General features: G+C 41.6%; 1 protein-coding gene across 3 annotated transcripts in view; it reads left to right on the forward strand.

The window, feature by feature from the left end:
* Positions 1 to 27,101, forward strand: part of PCSK2 (proprotein convertase subtilisin/kexin type 2) — a 258,472-nt gene that overhangs the window by 102,517 nt on the left and 128,854 nt on the right. The window lies entirely within an intron of this gene.

A 27,101-nucleotide genomic window follows, 5' to 3' on the forward strand; every position in this document is an offset into this window, starting at 1 on the left:
GGTAAACGGAAGAGGAGAGGAGGACACAAGTTCAAAGTCGAAAAAGGTTTTGGAGATTATCTTCCAATCTAATGCCCTATTTTACTTGCCTAGAAGATGAGGACCAGAGGAAAAACTGACTTGGCTAACAACACACAGTCAACTTGTGGCTGAGCTGTGAGTTAAATGATGAAACTGAAGCAAAATCACTTGGATTTCTGCATGGGAGTTGTCGACAGTCATGAAATTACACTCAAAGACTCCAGTGCATTCAACTAAATGTCAATTAGTATCTAAACTTTGCCAGAACACAGCAAACAGCAGAGCTAAGACATCCTGTGGGTGATCTTCCCTCCCTGCAGCCTGGCTTGATGAATTAGAGTTCTTTGGTTTTCAGAACGTGGTTGCTATTTTCTTCTCCAGCTCCATTAGCAGGTTGGGAATGGCACACTAGCTTTTTAATTAAAAATAATAATAATTAAAATACCAAACACAGTGTTGACTAAAAACAAACCATTATTCTTCCTTAATCACTTAGGCTTAGTAATTTCTCTTTGTATTTGGCAAAACTTCAAAAGGAGTAAATCAATGTTAAATCCAAAATTTAATGACTCGAGGGTTTTTGGAGAAAAAGAAACCTAGCAGTACATCACAATAAGGCAGGAGCCAGAATAAGTCTGGGCTGTTTTACAAGATGCTGTGTTCTACCACTAAAAAGAGGGTTATCATAAATATTATTAGTTATATATGAGCTAACCCCAAAACATCTTGATTGCCTTACAAGTCACCTTTTATTTTTAAACTTATGAAAATGTTCCCAATTATTCAGAAGCAAGATCATTTTATATAGAGTTCTACTGTTAAAAACAAACACATTCTGTTTTATTACTGCAAACCCTACATGTTTCTCCACAAGCTTTGTCTAATATTTAAACTGAAAGACTTATTACACGTATTGAAGTGCATATAATGTTCCAAAATAGACGGTCACCAAGTTTAAAAACTTCGCTCTCTCAGCTAACACGTGCATATCTTTAACAATTGACAAATTACATATGCAGGATTGTTACACAAAATGAAAATTAAAAAAGAAAAACAATTGACAAAGCGAAGCATATTTGCATGTATTAACTCATTTGTTTTGATCTTGTCCTATATTCCTAAAAGTCACAGAAGATAATCTGTTACGTAAATATATGGTCAGTGTGGAAAATTCAAGAAGTATATGAAGGAAAAACAGAAATCTCCCTCTATATCGAGCCCCTCTTTCATCTCCACACCCCGGAGGTAATCATTATTATCATTAGTTTGGTATCTATCTTTTTATAACAGAACTGGCCAATAGAAATGTAATGTGAGCCACAACTGTGTACATAATATGAAGTAGCCACATTTCTATAATAAAAGCAAAGGAAATGAGAGAAATTAAATAATAATATATTTATGTAACATAGTATATCCAAAATATTATCATTTCAACATGTTATCAGTACAAAATTATAATGAGATATTTTACATTGTTTTCTTGTACTAAGTCTTCAAACACCAGTGTGTGTTTCACACTTAGAGCACAAATCAATTCAGACTGCCAAGTTTCAAGTACTCAGTAGCCACACAGGGCAGTGACTACCTATGGGACAATACAGCTCTAGACCTTCCTTTCTATGTGAGAGAGAGACTGTGAGATAGTATATCAACTAAGAATTCTTGGCCGGGCACAGTGGCTCACACCTGTAATCCCAGCACTTTGGGAGGCCGAGGCGGGAGTATTAAGAGGTCAGGAGTTCGAGACCAGCCTGACCAACATGGCGAAACCCCGTCTCTACTAAAAATAAAAAAAAATTAGTTGGGCATGGTGGCGCGTGTCTTTAATCCCAGCTACTCAGGAGGCTGAGGCAGGAGAATCCCTTGAACCAGGGAGGCAGATGTTGCAGAATCAGGGAGGCAGAGGTTGCAGTGAGCCAAGATCGCACCACTGCACTCCAGCCTGGGCGACAGAGTGAGACTTCATCTCAAATAAAAATACATAAATTAAAATAAAATAAAATAAAATAAAGAATTATTTTGCTGCCAAGAACAGAAGTAATAATCACTGAAATAATAAAGGCTTCAATCAGCCAATGTAACAGGAAGTCTACAGGTGGCCAGGTCTGAGGCTGGACCAGCAGCTAACAATCCAGGCCTCAGGATGCTCTCTGCAATTGTCTCAACCATCCCCTGTGGTTGTAAGATGGTTACTGCGGGTCCAGAGAGCACATCTTCCTACTCCAGCTTCCAAAGGCAGGAAGCAGAAGCATAGCTGAGAAAATGAGAAAGAGCTCTTTCTTCACTCATGAAGGGGAAAAAAATCTTTGTCAGATGCCCCCTTTATATCTTTTGCTCAGAACAGATCACATGGCCTTCCCAGGTTACAAGGGAAGCTGGGTAAGCAGCTGTCTGGCTCTTTTAGTCTCCACAGTGAGAATCAGTCATAGGAGATGGGGATTGAAAATGTTTAAAAGGTAAGCACCCAAAGAACTGACATGGATAGATCTAAAGGTAGCGCTCCTGACTCAAACAGCGTTCCTACTTCAGAGCTGGATGGACTCTTCCAGCCCACTCCTTGTGGGCTGTGCTGATCACACTTCCTTCATAAAGTATGTAAAAGAATGTTTCAGCACATCTGCAGCACGTTGGACATTATTAGATTCTCAAATAACCCCGTACAGTTTACACTTTCATGAGTGTCACCTTCATTTTACCCAGAAGTTAAATAACTTTCTGAGGTCACAGCCAAGAAGAACCTGAGTCATGAACCATCTATTAAACCCAGGCCTTCTGTCTACAAACTCACTGCTTTTTCCATTCTCAGCTGCAATCCACCTGACAAGTAAAGAATACTTCATGAAAATTGAAAGTATAATTAAAGAATCTCAAGTTGAATTTTATGACAAGTTTGAAAACCCAATGTAAGACCCTTCCCAGGATAAGCTCTGGCATTTATAAAAATCCAAACAGCCAGTCTGTGACTGACCACCAGAAAAACAGATCTTGGGGCACTTAAATGATCTCTCTACTGTGAACCACTCAGAATTGCTTTTATTATTGGAGAGAAGGTAAAAATAATGACAGCAATGGTGGTTCATAATCTTCAAAGTATTTTTATGCCCATCATCTCGTGTGATTAAAAAAAAAAAAACCTCTGAGGTTGGCAGAAGTGTGCAACCTTATTTGATAAATGGTAACTAAGACTCAGAAAAGTAAAGTAATTGGGTCAAAATCAAACCTGTAGGCTAGGACCCTGGTCTTGGATGCTAGGAACTATGAGAAAGATGGATATCAGAAGTCATTAGAAGCTCTTCTATTATCAAAACTTTCTCAGTGGTCTAGGCACTGGTTATAATAATAATTATAGTTCACACTTACAGAGCATTTATTACATGCTAAGCACTGTTCTGAACCCTTTACATTTGTTAACTTATTTAATTTCACGAGAATCCTATAAAATTGTGCATCAGTGCTATGTCTTCATAACAAACTAACGAAACTTGCAGGTGTTCACAGCAATATAGACAGTTACTTCTCATTAACAGCTACTAAATGACTGGTTGAGGTTTGGCTGATCTAGGGTGGACTCAGCTTGGGATGGCTTTGAGCCCAAGGGTTGCGTTAAAGTTTACTTCTGATTCATACAAATAATACCTTGCTTGTAAATTTCACACTCAATGGACCTCACACACAAATACTATTTTCTTAGTCCTCCTGAGTGGGAGTTGGAGTGTCTTGGTGGAAATGGGAGGATTCTGACAAGTAGAGAAATGCCCTGATAGCCACCTCTATCAAAAAGCCAAGTGGAGTTGAAAATAGGGCACTGGATTTGATAAGAAAGAGATCACTGATGAAGCTGTCACCTGAAATCTGGGAGGGACACCATCAAGCACAGCTTTCTCTAGGGCAACAGTTCTCAAATTGTGTCCCCTGAACCAGCAGCACCAGTGTCACTTGGGAATTGGTTAGGATTTTCTAAGACCCTGCTCCAGACTTACGGAATCACAAACTCTGAGAGTGGGGCCCAGCAATTTTTGTTTTAATAAGCTTTCCTGAGGATTCTGATGCTGCTTCTAAATGTGAGCACCACTGCTCTAGAAGAACACCAAGAAACTGAGCTGTGCACAGCATTCACCATTGCTGACCTGCTAGAAGGTTGATGGTTTTCACCGTAGCATTTGTAATCTTGGTTGTATGCACCCTGCCTTTATTTTACTATATATGCAATATAGTCTTTGAAGTCCCTGTCCTACCAAGAGAATCCTACCTTATTTTGGGCTTTGGCTGCTCTAAAAATGAAAAGTTTTGAAAAGCACAAGTCACCCTAAATTGGATCCTGGGTTGTTTTTTGATGGGGGCATAAAGAACATCATTGGGACAATTGATCAAATTTGAATAAGGTATAGATTAGATAATAGTATTGTATCAATGTTAATTTCCCAATGTTCACAACTGAACTGTGGCTATGTAAGAGAAAGTGACTGTTTCTAGGAAACACATACTGAAGTTTTTTAACTTCAGAGAGCATACTGTTTGCAACTTTCAAACAGTTCAGAAAAAAATGATTTTGCATATGTCGTATGTGTAGAAAAAGAATGATAAAGCAAATGTGGTAAAATGTTATATTTAGAAAATCTGAATGAAGAGTATGTAGGAATTCTAAATACTCTTTTCCCAATTTTTGTATTATTTCCAAATTAAAAGTTTACAAAGAAAAAGCAAGTAGATCCACCATGACTTGTGCTCCAAATGTATGCAACTGATTTTGCAGAATCTCATGCTTCATGCTCTATCCTGTTTTGGAGCATAACTTTCCTCCCTCCAAAGGAAACAAGAGACACCTATGGAAATGCTGATGGAGCGAGGGTGGTCACCAGGCATGGAGCAGCACAGGAACACAAGCTTCTTGAGGCCTCCCAACTTGATAATCTTCACAGCTGGAAATGTCCCCCTTCCTTCAGAATTTCTCTGACATTATTGTCTGTCCTGGGATATTATTGCTCATTTGTTAGTACTAAGAAGTAGTTTAAGAGAGCAGTCTCTGGGGCCACTTCATGTATTTATGGCTTCAAACAGCCAGGGTTCAAATTCTGCCTCATCCACTTTCTACCTGTGTGACCTCAGGCAAGCCCCTGTGTCCTCATCTGTAAAATAGGGATGATAATAGTAACAAGGATTAAATAAGTGTAAAGGGCTAAGAACCGTGCTAGCACATGGAAGTTATTCAGTAAGTCTTCACTGTGCTATTATTTCCATACATTTCTTCCTTCTAAGTCACTGCATATATATATATATATATATATATATGGCTTCAAATCTAGATAGTTGTGTATTCATAGTATGTTCACAACATGTTCAATTCATCTGGCCCATTCTCTCACTTCACACCTGAAGAAGCAGAGACCCAGAAAGGTTAAATAACTTGCCCAAGTAACACAGCTTGTCAGTGTTACTTACCAGCTCAAGTCACTTGTGCCTGGAATCATTTCTCCCAGCATACTCTCCAGATTGGGGATCTGAAAGAGCAGTGGAGTGGGCAATCTACTTTTCCAGAGAAGGTCTTTATATAGAAAACAGTTTTGCCTGGAGGGAGCCAGAAACCTCCTGATGTAGGAATAACGCCTCTCACTAGAGTCATCAGAGTCACTGGAATGAGAAATTACCGGGTACCACAGGCACACTGAATTGTAATTTATTTTTCAAATGTGTGGTAAGTTGAGGACACTGGAAATGAGCATGGTACAATGAGAATCAGAAAACAGTGGGTTAAAATTTACCAATTAACTTGGGTATGCCACATAATTCCCACAAGCCGCATTCTCTGCATCCACAAAGTGCAGTTAGTGGTGCTTCTCTCTCAGTGTGGTGACAGCGATCAGAGCGGATTCTTACGGGGGGGCAATGAGTCCAGGGCCACGGATGGCCAAAAAATGTTCTTTGCTTCAAAAAAGGTGATGGCTGACTTTGGGGCAGAGAAACTGGTGGTAAAGTTAAGGCTGGGGAGGGCCAATAGGAAGGGGCCATGAGGGGTGGAGAACAACACCTGGAAGAAAATGTTCCTGCTCTGAGAGAAGTAGAAGACCTGGAACCACAGGACCAGTACTTCTCACCCACACATCTATTGTATGGGCCTGGGATGGAAATCTGCGCCACCAACTGAATCTTCAAGCAAGCACATAAAATAGTGGTATTTCATTTCTAATTACACATTCTGTCAGTCATGTTGGGTTTCCCCTGCAATTAACTGGCTCTTTACAAACGCATTAGCATATACAGCCAAAGGCATTGGTTTCAGACTGAGGCAAATCTGGTGTAAAACCGGCAACTCAGAAATTGTGTGACTTTGGGCAAGTTACTCAGAGTTTATGAAGTTCAATTTCTTCATTCGTAGAATGGTGGACAATTATTCAGTTACTATTGCTGTGTAGCAAATTACCCCAGAGCCTAGAGAAGAAAGGAAACCACAGTTTTTTGGCTCACTATTTTGTGGTTCAGGAATTTGGGAAGGGCTTGCGGTTCCCACTTGGGATGCCATATACTTGCAGTCAGACGGCAGCGGAGATTGGGGGGGTTGTCTGAAGACTCAACAGGGCTGGATGTCCAAGATGTCCCATCACATGGCTACAGGCTGGGAGCCCAGCTGAGGATCAACCATAGGACCAAAGCTCAGCCTCTCCAGGACCATAGCCTCAGGGGGCTCAGACTTCTTTACAGGCTGACTGGCTTGCCCTAGGCCAAAACACAAGATGTCCTTTTCTGACGTATTCTTGTAAGTCAGACAGCATCACAGCATCACTTTGTGTGTGTGTGTGTGTGTGTGTGTGTGTGTGTGTTCCTTGTCTAGTTTTTATTTGTTTGCTTGTGGGCTCTTTTATTTATTTCAGTAGGTTTTGGGGAAACAGGTGGTGTTTGTTTACATGAAGAAGTTCTTTAATGGTGATTTCTGAGATTTGGCACACCCATCACCCGAGCATTGTACACTGTCCCCAGTGTGTAGTCTTTTATCCCTTGCCCCCTCCCATCCTTCCCCCTAAGTCCCCCAAAGTCCATTGTATCATTTGTATGCCTTTGTGTCCTCATAGCTTAGCTCCCACTTATAAGTGAGAACATACGATGTTTGATGTTCCATTCCTGAGTTGCTTTACTTAGAATAATGGTCTCCAGTCCCATCTGGATTGCTGCAAATGCCATTATTTTTTTCCTTTTTCTGGCTGAGTAGTAGTCCATGGTGTGTGTGTGTGTGTGTGTGTGTGTGTGTGTGTGTATCATATTTTCTTTATCCACACATTGATTGATGGGCATTTGGGCTGGTTCCATATTTTTGCAATTTTGAATTGTGTGGCTCATCACAGCATCACCTATTTCATGATAAATCAGTGGTTGAATCAGTCACATGCTCATCCAGGTCAAAGAGAGGAACACAGGTTCTACCTCTTGATGAGAAGAATATCAAAGAACTTACAGATATGTTTTAACACTGTCACAATTGTAATACCACTTTATAATATTGTTGAAAGAATTAGATATATAATCATTGTAAAGTATTTTGCATTTGGTGCTATTGTTAAGATTTTTATATTTGCATATAGCAGGGAAACAGGTTGCTGCCTCTGAGCTGGAAAGATGCAGGTTTTAAGAGACAAACACAGGTATACACCATCCTTTCTTTAAGCCACAGCTTTATAAAAACCTAGTCACTCAAACCCAGGCTAGCAACTAGTTGAATGCCATTGATTTCTTAGAGGAATTAACCAAATACCTTCTCTGGGTCCCTAAGATGCATTGATCTCCTGCTTTCCTCCCCAGCACTGTGCGAATGTCACTGAATGATGGGAGGCTGTTTAAATGGGTAGAAATATTGATTTTCTTTTCTACCTTTTTGAAAGTTCTTTGCTTACCAGGTGCTGAGCAAACATCAGGCAAACGGCAGTCCACATAGAAATAGATGATGTGAGGAGCAACAATGGCAGTTCTGGCTTCTGAATGTGAAGCTGGTTAAGCAGCAGGTGCCCCCACTACACACTGTGGTTTTAGATTCAAAAACTACACATCATTGTTCACACTTCGTCATTTGCTAATTGATAATACAGCTCGCCCCTGTGGCACTAAGTAGCATAGTGGAAAATATTTCCAACCAATCCATGGAAACAGCTCCATCCGTGTCTGAAGAGGGTCGACTGAAAGCTGAGATGAACTGAGGGCCAGTGACGGGGTAATGAGGTGCATTTCGGAGGCTGGGGTCTGCATCCTAGGTGTCCATGTGCAAAATTGGTTATACCCTTGGAAATGACAACAATGTTCTGTCTTAGTCTGTGTCAGAGATGACAGATAAACACAGGTTAAGAAATTTCTGGGTTTCTTTGATATAGAGGACATCCAAGAAACCATGCATCAACATTAGGTTGCTATTGACACCCAAGGAAACTGATGTGTGGTTAACTTCTCCGAAAGAAAAAGCCAGGGGTTCCCTCAGGGAGCCAAAGGGCAGCAGATTGGAAATCACTCGCAATTCACACCATTGGAAGGAAACCAATGATGGAGGATGGAGAAGAGCCCTGTTTCCAATATGTGCTTCCTAAAGGATACAGTCCCAGAGAACTTGCCTCAAAGAACAACAAAGGAGAATCCCCAGAGAGTGACACTTTTTCATGATTTTGTCAGATACTCTGAATTTAAGTAGATTACTGCTTTCAACAGAATATGACGAAAACCACAGTGGGGCATTCTTGGGCTTGCTTTTCAGTTTTTGCGATGTTCTTAGGGAAAAGGTCTTACTGGGTCAGGTTTGCCAGGCTCTGCCCTTGGAGCACATTTTCAGCACTTGGTTGGAAGAAGATTCATTTAACCCTCAGCTGTAGATGAGAACAGGATGCAGCAAATTTACTGCAAACCAGAAAATAAAATTGGCTTTTCTATCCAAGAAGGAAATAAAGAAAACTCTGCCTTATCTTACTTTATAAAGATAATTCTTTTGTTTTCCCTGAAATAAATAATAATCATTTAAAAGCATTGGGAGAGGTGTGCAGTGACTCAGGCCCGTATCACAACATTTTGGGAGTCCGATGCAGGAGGATCACTTGAGCTCAGGAGTTGGAGACTAGCCTGGGCAGTATAGGGAGACCTGACTCTTTAAAAAAAATGTTTTTTTAATTAGCCAGGTATGGTGGTGCATGCCTGTAGTCCCTGCTACTCAGGAGGCTGAGGCAGGAGAATTTCTTGAGCCTGGGAGGTTGAAGCTGCAGTGAGCTGTGATCATGCCACTGTATTCCAGCCTGGGTGACAAAGCAAAAACCCATCTCAAAAAAAAAAAAAAGCATTAGGAGAAGAGAAAGAGGGAAATAAGGTCTAAATGTCCCCTTTCTGCATACAATGTGCCTGGGTTCAGGTCAGATCAGGCAGGTACTGGAACTTGGGTTCAGGTCAGGCAGGCCCTGGAACTTGGGCCAGTTGCTCTTACCTGTCCCTGAACTCAAGCACTTCCACACCTGCATTCCCTCCAGACTCAGGTTCTTTCTTCTGAGAAGAAACCTTACATTTTTTTTGGGGGGGGGGGTTGTGTTTTTGTTTTTTGTTTTTTGTTTTTTTGAGACGGAGTCTCACTCTGTCTCCCAGGCTGGAGTGCAGTGGTTCCATGTCAGATCACTGCAACCTCCGCCTCCCAGGTTCAAGCAGTTCTCCTGCCTCAGTCTCCTGAGTAGCTGGGATTACAGGTGGGCACCACCAAGCCTGTCTACTTTTTGTATTTTTAGTAGAGATGGGGTTTCATCATGTTAGTCAGACTGGTCTTGAACTCCTGACCTTTTGATCCACCCATGTCGGCCTCCCAAAGTGCTGAGATTACCAGTGTGAGCCACCGTGCCCAGCTAACCTTATGTTTTTAAAATTGTTGTTGTTGGTTTTGTTTTCAAGTGAACTTTTTGCCTGTTCTGTCAGGATCATTTCAGGAGAGTAGCAACCCTAAAGAAAACTCTCTTTTTCTTTGACATAAAACTTATTTTTAAAAAATTAAATAAATACTTAGTGAGTTCCTACTTTGCATCTGGCACTTCCGGGAACTCAGAAACAGAGTGAGAGAGGGGTCATTCCCAGGGAGAGGGATGGTACTAGGAGATGAGACAGGACTGGGACCTTCCTAGAGCTCTGGGTGCTATTGGGAGGGCAAACAAATACATGTCATTCCTGGAATGATTAGGAGACACTGGCAATTCAAAGGGAAGACAATCTCAACACACTAGTGCGATGGGTGAGTCCAAATTGATAGCAGAACTTCCAGCAAATCGACCCTCCTTAAAATTCAAGATAGAACTCTTAGAAAGGATATAGGAATGTTCACATAGCATCTTGTTTTTGAAGTGATTTTGTGGCCTCATCAAGGAATCCCGTCTAGTTTTCATTAAGAACAGCACACATTTTTAGGGAGATTTATTCAACAATTACTATAACAAGACCCTCCCCTAGAAAGCTTCTTAGGGATACACAGCACTTTTCAGACCCCATACAACAGTTCCATAAAAGTGATCAAATTTCACATTGTGAAACGAGACACGATGCAGCTTTTTAAAATGCTGACGAGGCATGAACAACCTGGTGGCTTTCATTTGCTTTTTGACCTGAGCATGTTTTGAAGTGGAGGAGACAAGTGAACAAAGTGAACAGAAATCAGTGAACTCCATCAGAGAACCACGGTAGGCTTGTTCACAAGCTGCTGTGAGCCACCACGTCCTGGGTTTCTTTGTTTTGCAGCAACAGTAGCTGGAACACAAACATTGAGCTCATGATCCGTCGACATTTCCTCATTGGCTTTGGCCATTTAGCATTGCAGGCCCAGCCCATGTTGATTTTTTTATTCCTTTACAATTAAAATGTTTTGGTTGTTTTTGTTGTTGTTGTTTCTGCTTGAAGGCTTCTGGAATTTTGTCTCTATCACTGCAATTTAAATATTCCCTGGAATATGGCTAAATACAGATCTCATGTTATTAATCTTGCCTAGAGTGAAGTGAGCCTTTCATTCTCTACACTGAAGTGTTTTGCTTCGTGGCTTTTCCAACGGTTCTGTTTATTTGTTTGTTTGTTTTCCAGGAATATTGTTAGGAATATTCCCAAGCTGAGGAGCTGGTACACACTGATAAATCTGGAACTGCCCAGCTCCCCTGTCATTGCTGCCCTCGGTCTAAGGACCAGCAATGGAAAAGAGTAGAGTGGCCTCCTAACTATGCATAGACTATGGGCTCAGTTTACTGTAGATTACAGTGAACACTAGCAATGGACATGTCATAAGTTAATGCTTTGACCTTCGGATTTTAGGACCTAAGACTCAACATTTGCCTTTTATAACATCCATGCAACCCACCCCTGCCTGTTATGTGACGCATTCCCCCTCTCAGGCCTAAGTTTATAGCTCTCTGGCTATAAATTCCTAAGCATGGGGTCTACCCCAAATGCTGGCATCACTAAGAACAAATGGGACAAGAAAACCCACCCTTTACTTCTACCTCCTGAGGCTCCTCAGTAAGGAGATATTGAAGCTTTTAGAGTAAACACACAGGCGGCATGGAGGAAGAGTCATGCAGGTCCCCATGAAAAGATATCTGACTTGAGATCACTCCCATTTGATAGCAGTAGCATTTGCTGTTGAGAAGGCATTCAGAAGTATTCCCATCCCCCAAACTAACTAGCTTTATTGTTGAATCTGTTTCTCTGCTCTGTGTCCTACACGCCTATAATTTTCCCCTTTTGACATTTTAATCTCTTTCTGGTAAAACTGCTAAAATTCACCTGTCATTACCAGTCCATTTCTGCATTGTGAATTCTGCTCTTTGCTGCTTTCAAACCAGATTTAATTTGGGTTTTGTGCTGGGCATCCTCTTCTTGTCTCTATGATTCTTCAATTTACCTTTTGTTCCTTTTTACCTTTTGTATCTTTTGTTTAAAAAGGTAAAATTCTTCAATTTTACTGCTTATCTTGTGTTTTTTTCCTCTCCGTCTTACGGATTTGGGCTCCTATTTTGTTACAATCTTGATGTACATCCTAATTAATACACCAAGGAATTTCTTCTGGTTCTTACGCTTAGTTATTTTGCAGTGCAGTGTTTTTCCCTGAATCTTCAGCAGAATGTTCCCCTCCCCTGTTCCTTGCATTTTTCATTCCAGCTCTCCTATGTGGGCTTCTTTTTTCTGGCTTACTTATTTTTAAATGAGATAAGCTTTACCCAAACCCAGAATTCACCACCAGACTCACTGCTGGGTTGTCCCTGATCTGTCCATTAACTAAGTCACCTCCTGAGAGATAGCACTGGAAGAGCATAGTTCTTTGCCAAATTCCCAATGTTTAAAGGATTGGCCGGGCGCAGTGGCTCATACCTGTAATCCCAGCACTTTGGGAGACTGAGGCAGGTGGATCACTTTGAGGTCAGGAGTTCGAGAGCAGCCTGGCCAAAATGTCTCTACTAAAAATACAAAAATGAGCTGGGCATGGTGGTGCATGCCTGTAATCCCAGCAACTTGGGAGGCTGAAGCAGCAGAATCACTTGAACCCAGGAGACAGAGGTTGCAGTGAGCCAAGACCGCACCACCGTACTCCAGCCTGGAAGGCAGAGCGGGACTGTCTCAAAAATAAATAAATAAAATAAAAGATTGCAGGGTTTAAATTGAATCTCTTCCTACCCTTACTGCATATTTCTCTGACATTCTGAACAAATAAGTGATTAAAAAATGACAATCCACCAGGGTTCTTATGTTTCCACTCACACACTTGAAAGTTGTGATTTATAGCTCCCGAAGTGAAGCGGGCCGCCCCCAGTATCTACCTCCTTTCCATAAGCTGTGTATTTTGGAAATGTATATGTCTACGTATTATTTTATGTTTACCCTTTCAAAGAAGGGGTCTTGCTGAAAAATTCCCTTGTTTTCAGGAACCCTGCAGAGATGGACCGTCAAATGTGTTTATCTATTCAGCCGCACTGAATAGCTACACTACTTAGCAGCAATTCTTTTGAATTCTAGCAGCAGATGGACTATGAGTTCTGCTTTTCATGGCGTGTCTTGAGTACTTCAGTGAGAAACTCAAGAGCACTAGGCAAGGAGTTAGTATCCAGAAGCCTCTTTCAGAAAAATGATTCTGGCAGAAAACTGTTTTTAAGAGGGACAGACACAAGAGTAGAATAACCACATGTGCTCTCAAAAGTCAGACTTGTTTACAGAAAAATCTATCTCCACAACTTTTTTTTTCCACAGTGTTCCATGAACATGCTCCAGGGCCACCTCTCAATACTCACATGTGCAATATGCATTTTTGCATCTTTCCAATCCTGTCCAGCCTGCTTCAGCTGCTGTTCAGTGAGAACCATGTGTTCCCAAAACTGTAAGTTTAGCCTGGCCACAGGGGTAATTGATTTTCTTTGATTTGTTTGTATGAAGCACTATCCAGTCCCATTTTACAAGAAGGAGAATTGGAGTAGACAGTTTAAGGAGTGGACTACATACTGTAAATGTTCTTGAGTGATAAGGTGTGTGTCACACCCAGCACCAGCAAATTACACATACACACACACATACAGCAAAATTAGCATCATTCAGAAGTTCTTCCCACACATTCCAAGAAACATTGTTGAGATGGTGTTATTATTCCATGCTTACTTATTTAGAATGCATTTAGTGTTAAGCAATCTATAACGCTCTTGTTTGTTTCTTTGCTTGTTTGTTTGTTTGTGACAGAGTCCTTCTCTGTCACCCAGACTGGAGTGCAGTGGCGTAATCTCCGTGCACTGCACCCTCCACCCCACTGAGGTCAACCAATCCTCCTACCTCAGCCTCCCTGGTAGCTGGGACTACAGGCATGTATCAACATGCCTGGCTAATTTGTGTATTTTTTGCAGAGATGGGGTTTCACCATGTTGTCCAGGCTGGTCTCAACTCCTGGACTCAAGCGCTCCACCTGCCTCAGCCTTCCAAAGTGCTGGGATTACAGGCATGAGCCACCAGGCCTCGCCTATAAAGCTCTTTAATAAACTTTTTTTTTTTTTTGAGACAGGGTCGTGCTCTGTTGCTCAGACTGGAGTACAGTGGCACGATCATGGCTCACTGCAACCTTGACCTCCTGGGCTCTAGTGATCCCCACCTCAGCCTCTCAAGCACCTGGGACTATAGGTGCGCACCACCACACCTGGCTAATTGTTTTCTTTTTCTTTTCCTTTTTTTCTTTTTTTTTGGTAGAGATAGGGTCTTGCTATATTGCCCAGGCTTGTCTTGAACTCCTGGCTTCAAGGAATCCTTCCACCTTAACCTCCCAAGGTGCTGGGACTACAGGCATAAGCCATGCACCTAGCCAACAATTATTTTTTATCACAACACAGCGAGGTTCCTGCTATAATTATCCTGACTTTACAGATGAGAAAACAAATGTACAGAAAGCTTAAAAAACTTGACTAAGGCCAAACAACTAGCAAGTGGTAGATTCAGTATGTGGGCCTAGACAGTCCTTCTCCAGAGACTGACTCTCACTATCCCTTTATTCAGCACTCTCTGTATTGCATGAGAAAAAATACATGTTGCATCTGTAGCTGAACTTCATACAACGCACACCAACTACATTTGGGAGACAGATTCATTTATTTACAAATTCCCAGTGGCCACCAAAACATCTGATAGTTAAAAAGCCCATCTTAAATGTTTGTGGAAATGAATGGAATTGGATGGTTTTAGTAGCTTCAATTTGACTCATCTAAGAAAACAGTATAACCCACATGTAGCTGTCCTCCTGAGGGTGGCCTCTGTTTTCACTATCTGCCAGCCATGAAACAGGGCTGCTTCATCCCTGCACAGATATCTTCAGTAGAACTTGTCAGCAACCAACCTCACTTCTCCAGCATGAATATTAGCTCTCTCTCTGCATGCGGGAGGCAGAATAATGACCTTCTCAAAGATGCCCACATTCTAAGCCCTAGAACTTGTGAATATGTTATGCCACATGGCAAGGTGGGGTTAAGGTTTTAGACGAAATGAAAGTTGTTAATAAGCTGGCTTTGAGACAGGGAGATTATCCTGAATTATCTGAATGGCCCCAATGTAATCACGAGTATCCTTACAAGAGGAAGGCAGAAGAGAAAGTCAAGGTGATATCATACAAGAAATATTTCATCCACTGTTGCGCCGTTAATGATGGAGAAATGGGATCATAAGCCAAGGAATGAGGAAGCCTCCAGAAGCTGGAAAAGGCAAAAAAAGAATCCCTGCCCCCTACAAGAGCCTCTAGAAGGAGCACAGCCCTGCTGACACCCTGCTTTTAGACCTCTGATTCCTAGAACTGTAAGAGAATGAATTTGTGTTGTTTTAAGCCACTAAGTCGGTGGCCATCTGTTACAGCAGCCACAGAAAACTGCCCACTGCAGGATGAAAAGCCACTTTCTCCTGGTATTTCTCAAAGGCTAATCTAAGAGCATGGATTGTTCTGTATCTTCCAGGAGCACTATTGCAAAGTCGATTCATTACTTTTTTCATTTGTTCCGCATCACCGTGCTGGGGCTCATTAACGCCCTGTCATCGGGTGCTCTGTGCGTAAGTAGAAGTGTGTTAAGAATCAATCGCTCTGACCTTTATTCCCTGTTGGTGTTTTGTCATTCGTGGGCTGCTTGGCTTGACATATGAATTACTCTCCAGCTGCCTGGTGCTGGGGAGGCACAGTCACCAGCCCCCAAATATTTCAGACATATGCCAATTGCAATTTCAACACACATTTTTTTTCTACCGTCACCCTGGAACTGTTCCATTGGCAATGCATGAAATATGAACAAGAGGAAATAATTGACAAGGCACCACTGTTGACTAAGGGGCTAACCTTTGAGGAAGATTAAAAACAGATGTCCTTGAAGAAGAAAGAACTGAGGAAGTGAATCTTCTCTCCTCTTAACTCTTTAGTTCATTGTCCTCATCCAAAAATTAAACTAACACACTCTGAAGAAGGTTTAAGGAGATCAGGAATTTTCAAGAATTCATTTGTATTCTGTAGCAGACAGCTTGTTTGTTCCCCATTGAAAACCTACAAGAAACAATACTGCAACCTTTGTTATAGCAAATAACTGGTGGGTGTATCCCTCCATGCCAAACACATGCCAAGCATAAAAAATGTGCCTAGAAAAACAAATAACTTTGGAAGGCTCTTTTCCCAGTGCCTTCTTACTTCCTTTGTCTTAGTCCTCCTTTCTGTGATGGTGCCCAACCTAAGCCCTGGATCCTTTGCTGTTGATTTCAGTAGCATTTCTCCCTGACTTGCAGGAAACTGCCCAAGGCTTTCAAAATTACCTTTTCCATAAACTCCTGTTCCTTCCTCGAACAATCTCAACCAGCATCTTTGCAAAAAGCTGCCTAATTAATGACTTCATGCACAAGTGTGGGTAAGTGATAACACCTGGATGTGTTGCCCTTCCCAGAGGACTTGTTTTCCAAATCTTTTCAAATAGAGACATAATCAGCCTGGATAATGAGTGCTCAAAACTAAAGCTTAACCCTTCATGGCAGGAGTGTGGTCAGTGTGCGTGTGCTCAGGGGAGGTGATATGGGTCATTGGAGGCTTTCTTTGTGCCCCTCAAATCACATGATTTGTACTACCCAAATGCTGCCCCTGCTTCCACTCTGACGATGAAATGATTTCATGAATATATTGACCATTATAATTATAGCCAGTGACATTTATAGTATGCTTCATTATTCTCAACAAGAAAAGTTTATTTCATGTCATCCTCACCAATAAGCCTGTGAGGTCAAGAATTCCATCATGTCCGTGCTATACACCAGAAATCAACAAACTTTCTGTAAAGGGCCAGAGAGCAAATATTTCAGGCTTTGAGGCCATATGGTCTCTGTTGCAATTACTCAACTCTACGGCTGCAGTGTGAAAGCAGCCATAGGCAGTGTATAAACAAATGGGCATAGCTATGTTCCAAAAAATTTATTTACAAAAGCAGTCAGCAGACTAGACTTGCCAAACCCATGGTCTGGATGAAGAAAGCACAACCTGGAGAATTTGAGGCCCTACCTCAGAACATGCACAAATCAGAAGCAAACCACCTCAGAACCCAAACCCAGTTCTTTCTTACTTGAAATTCGGTGCTCTTTCACTGAACCACACGGTTTGGGGCATAGTCTTTAGCATTCAGGAGAGTCATGACTTTGGATCAAATCAAGAATACTCTCCACCCACCCATCTCCCCCGTTTTCATCACACACACCTGTAAAGGAGCAGCTGGGGCTGGGGTACCATCATTAGCCTGTGGCCATGGAAACAGAGTCAAGGTAACTGACCCACAGGACCAAGACACATGACCTTGATGCTATTAGCTCTTTCCATTGAAGCTTGCTGGCCATATACAGCATAATTGAATGAAACTGCAGAACTTCTTCAGTCAGATCCACCTGTGCCTTCCAGAAGCACATTAATGAGGCCCCCCTCCGGCACAGAATGGGAACTAGGCAATCCAGACACATCCCCACCCAGCATCCTCCTTCTGGTTCACTAGCAGAACTGGATCATGAATCAACAAAATGAAGGAGGCTTTGCAAGAACAAAGCTTTTGGAACCTGTATTCCTGGGTGGTGCTGGAGCCATTCATTCCTAGCCAGGTGCCATGAGCACTTTCTCTGTGGGCGCTGTTGGCTCCCCTTTACCTCTCACCCCCAAACGCCTTTCCAGGGAGGTGTAGTGCTGAGTGCACTGGTCAGATGTGGGGACACTGACTGTTCACAGCTGGAGTGAAGAGGGACAGAGACTTCTCCTCGTCTCCCCACCATCCTTCTGTTCCTCCTCCCATTTGTCCTCCCAGGAGCTCTCCTTATTAGACTGAGGCCCTTTAGCCTGCCTGCAATGGAAAACAGAGCCATTCACCTGGCCCAGGCAGGCTCTTTGGGGTGCTACAATGTGCATGGCCAAAGCTATTCATGTATTAAAGAGGCTTAGCTAGCTTTGCTTCTTTACTGCACTTACATCTCAGGAGACACTCATTGAGAGGAACATGTCATTTTGGCCAAGAACAGCATTTAGGGACTTTCTAGCTTCTCTGGAAAATTGTCCTGTCAAGTACACCCCAGTCTAACCATTCCTGCCGTAATATCTGGCATAGAGCCTCCATCTTTTAATATCCTTTTCCTTAATATAATTTCCTAAATCCATCTCCTAACATTGCCCCACCACCCTGGAAACAAGCATAGCCCTGGCTGCAATGCACATGTTCCAACCAATATAGAAGCTGAGATTTCACTTTCTCGGGGTTCTCGTTGGCTGCCTTGGCACCTCGCTCCACAAGAAACATCTTTGATCCCTCCCTAATTACATTGATTTATCTCACGGTATACCTTGTATCCAGAGCTTTAGATGATAGATAGCAATTTGTTAATACTTGTCACTAAGACTCAATGACTGGAACTGTGGTCAGAGGCATGCAGCCATATCCTCCCTCCTCAATTGATCATCTTTATTCTTGCAAGATGGTCCAACCTCTCTAAATGAGGGCAATCAATACTGTGCATTCAGCCATAATCGTGGCTTAACTTGGTATTCTTTGAAAACTTAAGCTGTGTAATTTGCCTGTAATTGGGCTTTCCAAAAAGTCATATCTCCTGCTCAAGGAAGCAATTAAGCCGGCACACTCCCTGTCTGCTGCCTGCTCCCTCCCTCCTGGCATCTGACTGCCATGGGCCAAGTCTTCCCTCCGCAGACCTCTCTCCTCTCCAGATCCCTGTTTGGATCTCGACAACCAAAGCCAGCAGTTGGCGGCAAAGCAGATGAACTAGAATATCTGAGCCCCTTGGAGAGGCCTTTTTCTTCCATAATCTCCCACATCACTTCCATCAATCGCTTTTGGGGGTTTCTCGCTTGATGAGCTGTGTCCAGCTCATCAATTCAAACACTGAGATAACACACCGCATTGCAAAGGCAAAGGCAGAAAAGCTAGAGCCCCAACAGTGAACCCTCATGTAAACCATGGACCGTGGGTGATGACGATGTGTCAGTGTCGGTTCAGCACGCGTAACAAATGCACGCTGTGCTCCAGCAGGGATGTTGATAATAATGGGAAGGCAGTGCATGTGAGGAGACAGAGGATATGTGGAACTCTCTGTGCCTTCTTCTCAATTTGCTGTGAACCTAAAACTGCTGAAAGACACATAGACGAAAGAAAGAAAGAAAGAAAGAAAGAAAGAAAGAAAGAAAGAAAGAAAGAAAGAAAGAAAGAAAGAAAGAAAGAGGAGAGAGAAAAAAGAAAGAAAGAAAGAAAGAAAGAAAGAAAGAAAGAAAGAAAGAAAGGAGAGAGAAAAAAGAGAAAGAAAGAAAGAAAGAAAGAAAGAGAAAGAAAGAAAGAAAGAAAGAGGAGAGAGAAAAAAGAGAAAGAAAGAAAGAGAGAAAAGAGAAAGAAAGAAGAAAGAAAGAAAGAAAGGAAAGAAAGAAAGAAAGAAAGAAAGAAAGAAAGAAAGAAAGAAAGAAAGAAAGAAAAGAAAAGAAAGAGAGAGAGAAAAGAAAGAAAGAAAGTCTAACAAAAAGATGTGGAGACATGCCCCTCATGCAGATGGGGACTTGTGTTGCATTTAGGACACACTTAGGAATGGACTCCAGCTGGCTTCTCTTCTCACATTTGATTTGCTTTGTCTTCAGTTAGCTAAGAGCAAGAAGATTAAAGTCCAGGCATCTGGGCAGCTTTGGAGTGAGATGAGCCTAGCTTGAGGTGTTTTGGAACAAGGGAAGTCACTACCCCACTGCCTTTCTACATTACAAAAACATTAGCAAAATTATAGAAGTAACTGCTGGCATTTCTTGAGTTCACACAGTGGGCCAGGTGCTTATATGCACCATCACTTTTGATCCTCACCACAACCAAAGTACACATGGGAGTGGAGGAGCAGCACAGTACGCTAGAGAAGTACCTAGCTAGACTGCTGGAGTGTCGTGTCAGTTTGCGAAGGCTCTCATATGGGGGGCCACAGCCAGGGTGGCTTAAAGAACAGAAATGTATGGAGGTAAAAGTCTCAGATGAAGGTGTCATCAGGGTTGGTTTCATCAGGGCCATGAGGGAAGGACCTGTTCCAGGCTCTTTCCTTGGCCTGTAGATGGCCGTCTTTTCCCTGTGTCCTCACACCATTCCCTCTGTTGGTAACAGTGCCTGAATATGATGACACCAGTTATATTGGATGAGACCCCACCCTAATGGCTTTAATTAATGACCTCTTTAAAGACACTATCTTCAAATGCAACCTCATTCTGAGGTACTGGGGGTAAGGACTTCAACATTTGAACTTAGAGGGAAGAGAGTCCAGCCCACAACAGGCATGACCCGTGGCTCTGCCCTTGGCTAACCATAGGACCGTTAACCAGCCACTTGGTGTCTTCATGCCTTCACTCCTAACCTCTCATGTGGTTGTCGGGGAAAATAACTGAGATAATGTACATGAGTACTCAGGGCACTGCCCAGCGCAACAGTCAGCCCTCAGTAAGTGTCAGCCATCACTAGGGTTTATCCTTATTTTACAGGTGAGCAAACTGAGTCTTAAATGGGCTCCACAGCTTGCTGGAGACCCCACAGCCAGAGAACAACAGGTATAGCAGGGCCTGTAACTCATGTCTGCCTGTCCCCAAGACCAAGCTCTCATCCACAATCCTATGCTGCCTCCTTCACAATATTACACAGAAGGCAGCTGTGTGCCTACAAAGAAGTCAAGCTATATTCCCCTTTCTGTGAGATGAAGGATACACAACCCAATCCATCTCAATTCTTACCAGCTTCCCAAAGCGTGAAACGAAACTTCCCAGCCCTGCCTCTAACACCTTGTGAGAGGAAGAACTTACTCTGTCACTATCTGGTGCCCAGCTCTGTGAGCACACCCCAGAAATGCCTCAGATCCTCTACCCTCCCCAGGAAGATAACAGTGACAAGGATGACCAGGCCAGGGCCCAGAGGTAACTTCTATCTTCAGCCCTAATCCTGTGTCCCATATGGATGCGTCCTCAAGCCCATCCATGGGTGTTAGAGCTAAAGTGTTTTAACCTACCAAGAAAAAAAAAATCCTCAGACTATAATAAAGGCAAGGTATCTTACCATGCAAATTAAGAGGTTTTTCATAAATAAAAGATTCATGCTCTTTGGGTACTTTTGCTACATTTTTAATACTTCCTCCAGCACACTGGCTCACTACGCTGGCTGGTCATTTGAATTACCTGGAAAGTTTTAAACACCGCTGAGGCCAGGGCCCATCCCTAGCAACTCTCAGTTCCCTGCTCTGGTGGTTGGCCTGAGCACAGGGCTTTTGCCACCTTCCCAGGTGATTGCACTGTGCAGTCAAGGCTGGGGACCTCTGCTTCGCGAGGACACCTTGTTTTCTTGTAGTGATGTTAACTCCAGTCTCTGCCTCCTCCATCTCCACATGCCTTTCACTCTGTGTGTCTGTATGTCTTCACATGGCATTCTCCTTGTTTCTAGGCCCTCTTAGTATAATGACACCAGCTGTATTGGATTGAGAACCCATCCTAATCTAGTATGACCTCATCTTAACTAATTACACCTGTAGTGACCCTATTTCCAAATAAGGTCACATTCTGAGGTACTGGAGGTTAGCGCCTTAATATATCTTTCAGGACAGCACAATCCAACCCATCATAGTGGTAAATAAAATAATTCTCAGTGGCACAAGAAATAATTTTACACAATCAAGGACATCATAGATTAATAAACCAGTATTTTTAGCAACATGTTAGTTTTGTGTTTTATGCTCCTTTTCTTGCTCTCACTTCAAGCAAAGACGTCCCTCACCATCTTTGGAGCAGGTTTCCCCTTTGCTCCCCTTTCTCCTGGCCCCTCCCACCCCAGCACAGTCAATGCTAATTAACAGCTGTTTAATTATCAGCCCAGCAGGGAAGTGATCATGGCCCAGGTCCTCAGAGAGTTATATGCACAGTTAAGTTGTCCCAGATACTGGAAGATTGACTGTGTTATGTGCCCATAGGGAGAGGCAATGCGGCTTAGTCGAAAGTTCATAGCATTGAGAATCCATCAACCTGATGACTCTGCCATGTTTTAACTGTTAGACAATGGCTTCCAAACCTTTTTTTCCTCAACCGTAACAATACCAACCCCACAGTTTTGTTGGGAAGATTAAGGCCAGGCGTGGTGGCTTATGCCTGTAATCCCAGCACTTTGGGAGGCCGAGGCGGGTGGATCACCTGAGGTCAGGAATTCGAGACCAGCTTGGCCAACATGGTGAAACCCCATCTCTATTAAAACAAAAATTAGCCAGGCATGGTGGCGAATGGCTGTAGTCCCAGCTACTCGGGAGGCTGAGGCAAGAGAATCGCTTGAACCTGGGAGTCGGAGGTTGCAGTAAGCCAAGATGGTGCCACTGCACTACAGCCTGGGTGACAGAGCAAGACTTCATCTAAAAAAAAAAAAAAAAAATTAATGTAGTAAAAGTACCTTGTTAAGTATACAATCATATGCAAATGCACAGGGATGTTTTCTGCTTCATCTTAGCATGGTCATAACTGGCACATCATAGAGAGACTAGAGGTGGGTAAGGGATGGGTAGAGTTGCTTGAGCAACATTTGTGCACAAATGTCAAATTAAGGTTCAAAAGTTGAACTGGAATTGTGAAATAGCCATCTGTTCATTTTAAAGAAAATATTAACTAGTACCAATTCTATGAATCTATTCCAAAAAATCAAGGAGACTCCTCTCTAACTTATTCTACAAAGCCAGCATCACCATGATACCAAAATCTGGTGAAGACACAGTGAAAAATGAAAACTACAGGCCAATATCCCTGATGAACATAGATGTAAAAATTCTCAACAAAATACTAGCAAACCAAATCCAGCAGCACATCAAAAAGTCAATTCACCACAATTAAAAAGGCTTTATTCCTAGGATGCAGTTAGTTCAACATATGCAAATCAATATATGTGATCATCACATAAAGAGAATGAAAAACAAAAACCATATTATCCTCTCAATAAATGCAGAAAAAACTTTTAATAAAATCCATCATGCCTTCAAGAAAAAAACCCTCAACAAACTAGGCATTGAAGAAACATACCTCAAAATAATAATAACAGCCAGCTATGACAAACCCATAGTCAGCATCATACTGAATGGGCAAAACTGGAAGGATTCCCCTTGAGGACAGAAACAAGACAAAGATGCCTACTCTCACCACCCCTATTCAACATAGTACTGGAAGTCCCAGCCACAGGAATCAGGCAAGAGAATGAAATAAAAGGCATCCAGGAAGGAAAAGAGGAAGTCAACTTATATCTCTTCATTTATGATATGATTCTATACCTAGAAAACCCTAAAGACTCAACCAAAAGGCTCCTAGAACTAATAAAAAAAGCTTCAGTAACATTTGGGTTACAAAATCAACGTGCAAAAATCAGTAGCATTTCTACACGCCAATAACGTTCAAGCTGAGAGCCAAATCAAGAACACAATCCCACGTATAATAGCTATAAGAAGAATAAAATACCTAAGAATACATTTAACGAAAGAGGTAAAAGATCTCTACAAGGAGAACTACAAAACACTGCTGAAAAAAGTCATAGATGACACAAACAAGTGGGAAAGCAGTCTATGCTCATGGATTGGAAGAATCAGTATCATTAAAATGGTCATACTGCCCAAAGCAATCTACAGATTCAACGCTTTTCCTACCAAACTACCAATGTTATTTTTCATAGAATTAGAAGAAACAATTCTAAAATTCTATAAAACCAAAAAGAGCCCGAATAGCCAAAGCAATCCTAAGCAAAAAGAACAAAGCTGGAGGCATTGCATTACCCAATGTCATATTATATTGTAAGCCTACAGTAATCAAAGCAGCATGGTAGTGGTACAAAAACAGACACATAGAACAATGGAACAGAAAAGAGAACTCAGAAATAAAGCCACACACCTACAACCATCTGATCTTCAAGAAAGTCTACAAAAGTAAGCAATGGGAAAAGGGCTTTTTATTCAATAAATGATGCTAGGATAACTGTCTAGCCGTATGCAGAAGAATAAAACTGCACCCCTTTCTTTCACCATATGCAAGAATGAACTCAATATAGATTGAAGATTTGAAAGTAAGACATCAAACAATAAAAACTCTAGAAGAAAACCTAGGAAATGCCATTCCAGACATAGGTCTTGGTAAAGATTTCATGATGAAGACTCCAAAAGCAATCACAACAGAACAAGAATTGACAGGCGGACCTAATTAAGGTGCTTCTGCACAGCAAAAGAAACTATCAACAGAGTAAACAGGCAACCTAGAGAATGGGAGAAAATATTTGCAAACTATGCATCTGACAAAAATCTAATACCTAGAATCTATAAGAAACTTAAACAAATCAACAAAAAAAAAATCCCTATTTTAAAATGGGCAAAGGACATCAACAGATACTTCTCAAAAAACACACAGGTGGCCAACAAACATATGAAAAATACTCAATATCACTAATCATTGCAGAAAAGCAAATCAAAAACCACAGTGAGATACCATCTCACAACAGTCAGAATTGCTGATTAAAAGTCAAAAAATAGGCTGGATGCGGTGGCTCATGCCTGTAATCCCAGCACTTTGGGAGGCCAAGGCGGGCGGATCACGAGGTCAGGAGATTGAGACCATCCTGGCCAACACTGTGAAACCCTGTCTCCAAAAAAAATACAAAAAAAAATTAGCTGGGCGTGGTGGCACACGCCTATAGTCCCAGCTACTCGGGTGGCTGAGGCAGGAGAATCGCTTGAACCCGGGAGGTGGAGGTTGCAGTGAGCCAAGATCATGCCACTGCATTCCAGCCTGGTGACAGAGCAAGACTCCATCACACAAAAAAAAAAAAAAAGTCAAAAAATAGTAAATGTTGGCGAGGCTGTGGAGAAAAGAGAACACTTATACGCTGTTGATGAGAAAGTAAATCAATTCAGCCACTGTGAAAAGCATTTTGGAGATTTCTCAAAGAACCTAAAACAAAATTATCATTCAATCCAGCAATACTATTACTAGCTATATACTCAAAGAAAAATAAATCATTCTACCAAAAAGACACATGCACTTTTCTGTTCAGTGCTACACTATTCACAGTTGCAAAGACATGAAATCAACCTAGGTACCCATCAAAGGTGGACTGGATAAAGAAAATGTGGTACACCTCATATACACCATGGAATACTATGCAGCCATAAAGAAGACCAAAATCATGTCCTTTCCAGCAACTTGGATGCAGATGGAGTTCATTATCCTAAGCAAATTAACACCTGAACAGAAAGACAAATACCAGGAGTCCTCACTTATAAGTGGGAACTAAACATTAGGTACACATGGGCATAAAGATGGGAAGAGTAGACAATGGGGACTACTAGAAAAGAGGAAGAGCAGGGAAAACAAGGACTGAAAAACTGCCTATTGGGTACTATGCTTACTACCTGGCTGATGGGATCATTCATACCCTAAACTTGAGCATCATGCCATATATCCATGTGCCCCCTGAATCTAAAATAAAGTTGAAATTACAACAAAATTTTTTTAAATGTTTAAAAGATATTCTCATAGAAATAATAGTGATACCCAGTAACAAAGACTTCTACTTTCTTATGTTTTTTATTTGTACAAACGTGTAAGCCAACGGTCCTATTTGAGGAAGCGTTCTAAAACTAAATACAGAAGTGAACTATACGTTATTTTCTGAGAAGGGGAATAATTAAGTTGTATGCATGTTATTCGTATCACATCTAAATGGTAATAAAAGGTATAGTGTATGGAAGGCTAAAATTCAGAGAAGGAGGAAGAGAGAATAAGTCAGTGACCTTTTAGTAATAATGTGAAAATATAGTTTAGACACTCGGAAATATTTCTCTGACATTAAGGGCTTTATCATACATGGAATTGTAACACTGCAGTCTTTCCCAGAGGTCTTCTAAAATAGTTTATAACCCAATCTGTCCGGTCATGGTAATTTTATTTATAATGGAAAACAATCTAAATGACTAATAAGAGGGAAATGGATAAATTGTGGTATATGACTCTGGAACATTTAGGTAGCCATTAGTATTTAATTTTACTTAAATTTTAATTTTAATTAAAGTATGATAGCTAAGTAGCAGCATATTACAATTCTTATGGTAGGATACTCAGTGAAAAAAGAATTCACAACTTTATAGTATGATTACTACTCTTTAAAAATTAGGTATGAATATGAATTAAGATTGAATGAGAACCCAGAACAATAAACATGATTAATGGGGTTACATGGTATCATTGTGGGGAAAAAAAAAAGTTTTCCAGTTATTTGTGTGTAACAAGTGAAAGCATATATTGTTAAAGGTGTTCGTCTCTTTCAAAGTGTAACTGTGGACAAGAAGATAAACTGACAGACTCAGAAAGCCCCCTTCAGTCTCAAGACTCCTAAATTGCTGAGTTGCAAGGAGGCAGTGCCCAGAGAATGCAGCATTCCTAAGCATCACTAGTTTCCATTAAAACCTAATTTATGGAATTAAAAATTAATTTCATGGAAATGAATTTGAGCAGTCTTTTCATTAGAGCACACTTGGTCTAAATGAGTTTGGAGTGGTTGTAATAGCCATTCCTGCACTGTTATTTATAAAGGTGAAATCTGATGTGAGTATTTTTGTTCTTACGCTACTGAGAAACAACATATTGCTTAGAGTTTTCAAACTTCCATGTGATAGTTGCTCTTGCTCCCCGAAGATCCTCTCAGGGAAGTTATTTACGACAAGGAGTCCCATAGAATGGGAATCCCTCAGTGAAAGTCAACCAAGGCCTCCGATTAGTGAGTAGAGCAGATAAAGGCCTCTCGTTGTGGAACCAAAATGGGAAGAGGCAATGGCCAAAGTGAGACACCTTCTTTCCCAAGTGCAAGAGGCACTCTTGCTTCCATAGTGAAAGAAGTTTGCGAGATGGGTGTATCTGATGGCTATGTTTCCAGGTGGAGAACTATACATTTACTTCAACATTTTAAACATTCTGTTAATGAATATGCACATGTGTGCACGCAAACACACACACACACACACACACACAGAGAGAGAGCTATGGGAATATGCTGCAAAAATCTCTGACTTCAGGGAAA

The sequence above is a fragment of the Homo sapiens genome, chromosome 20, assembly GCF_000001405.40.
Source record: "Homo sapiens chromosome 20, GRCh38.p14 Primary Assembly".
NCBI lineage: Eukaryota > Metazoa > Chordata > Mammalia > Primates > Hominidae > Homo > Homo sapiens.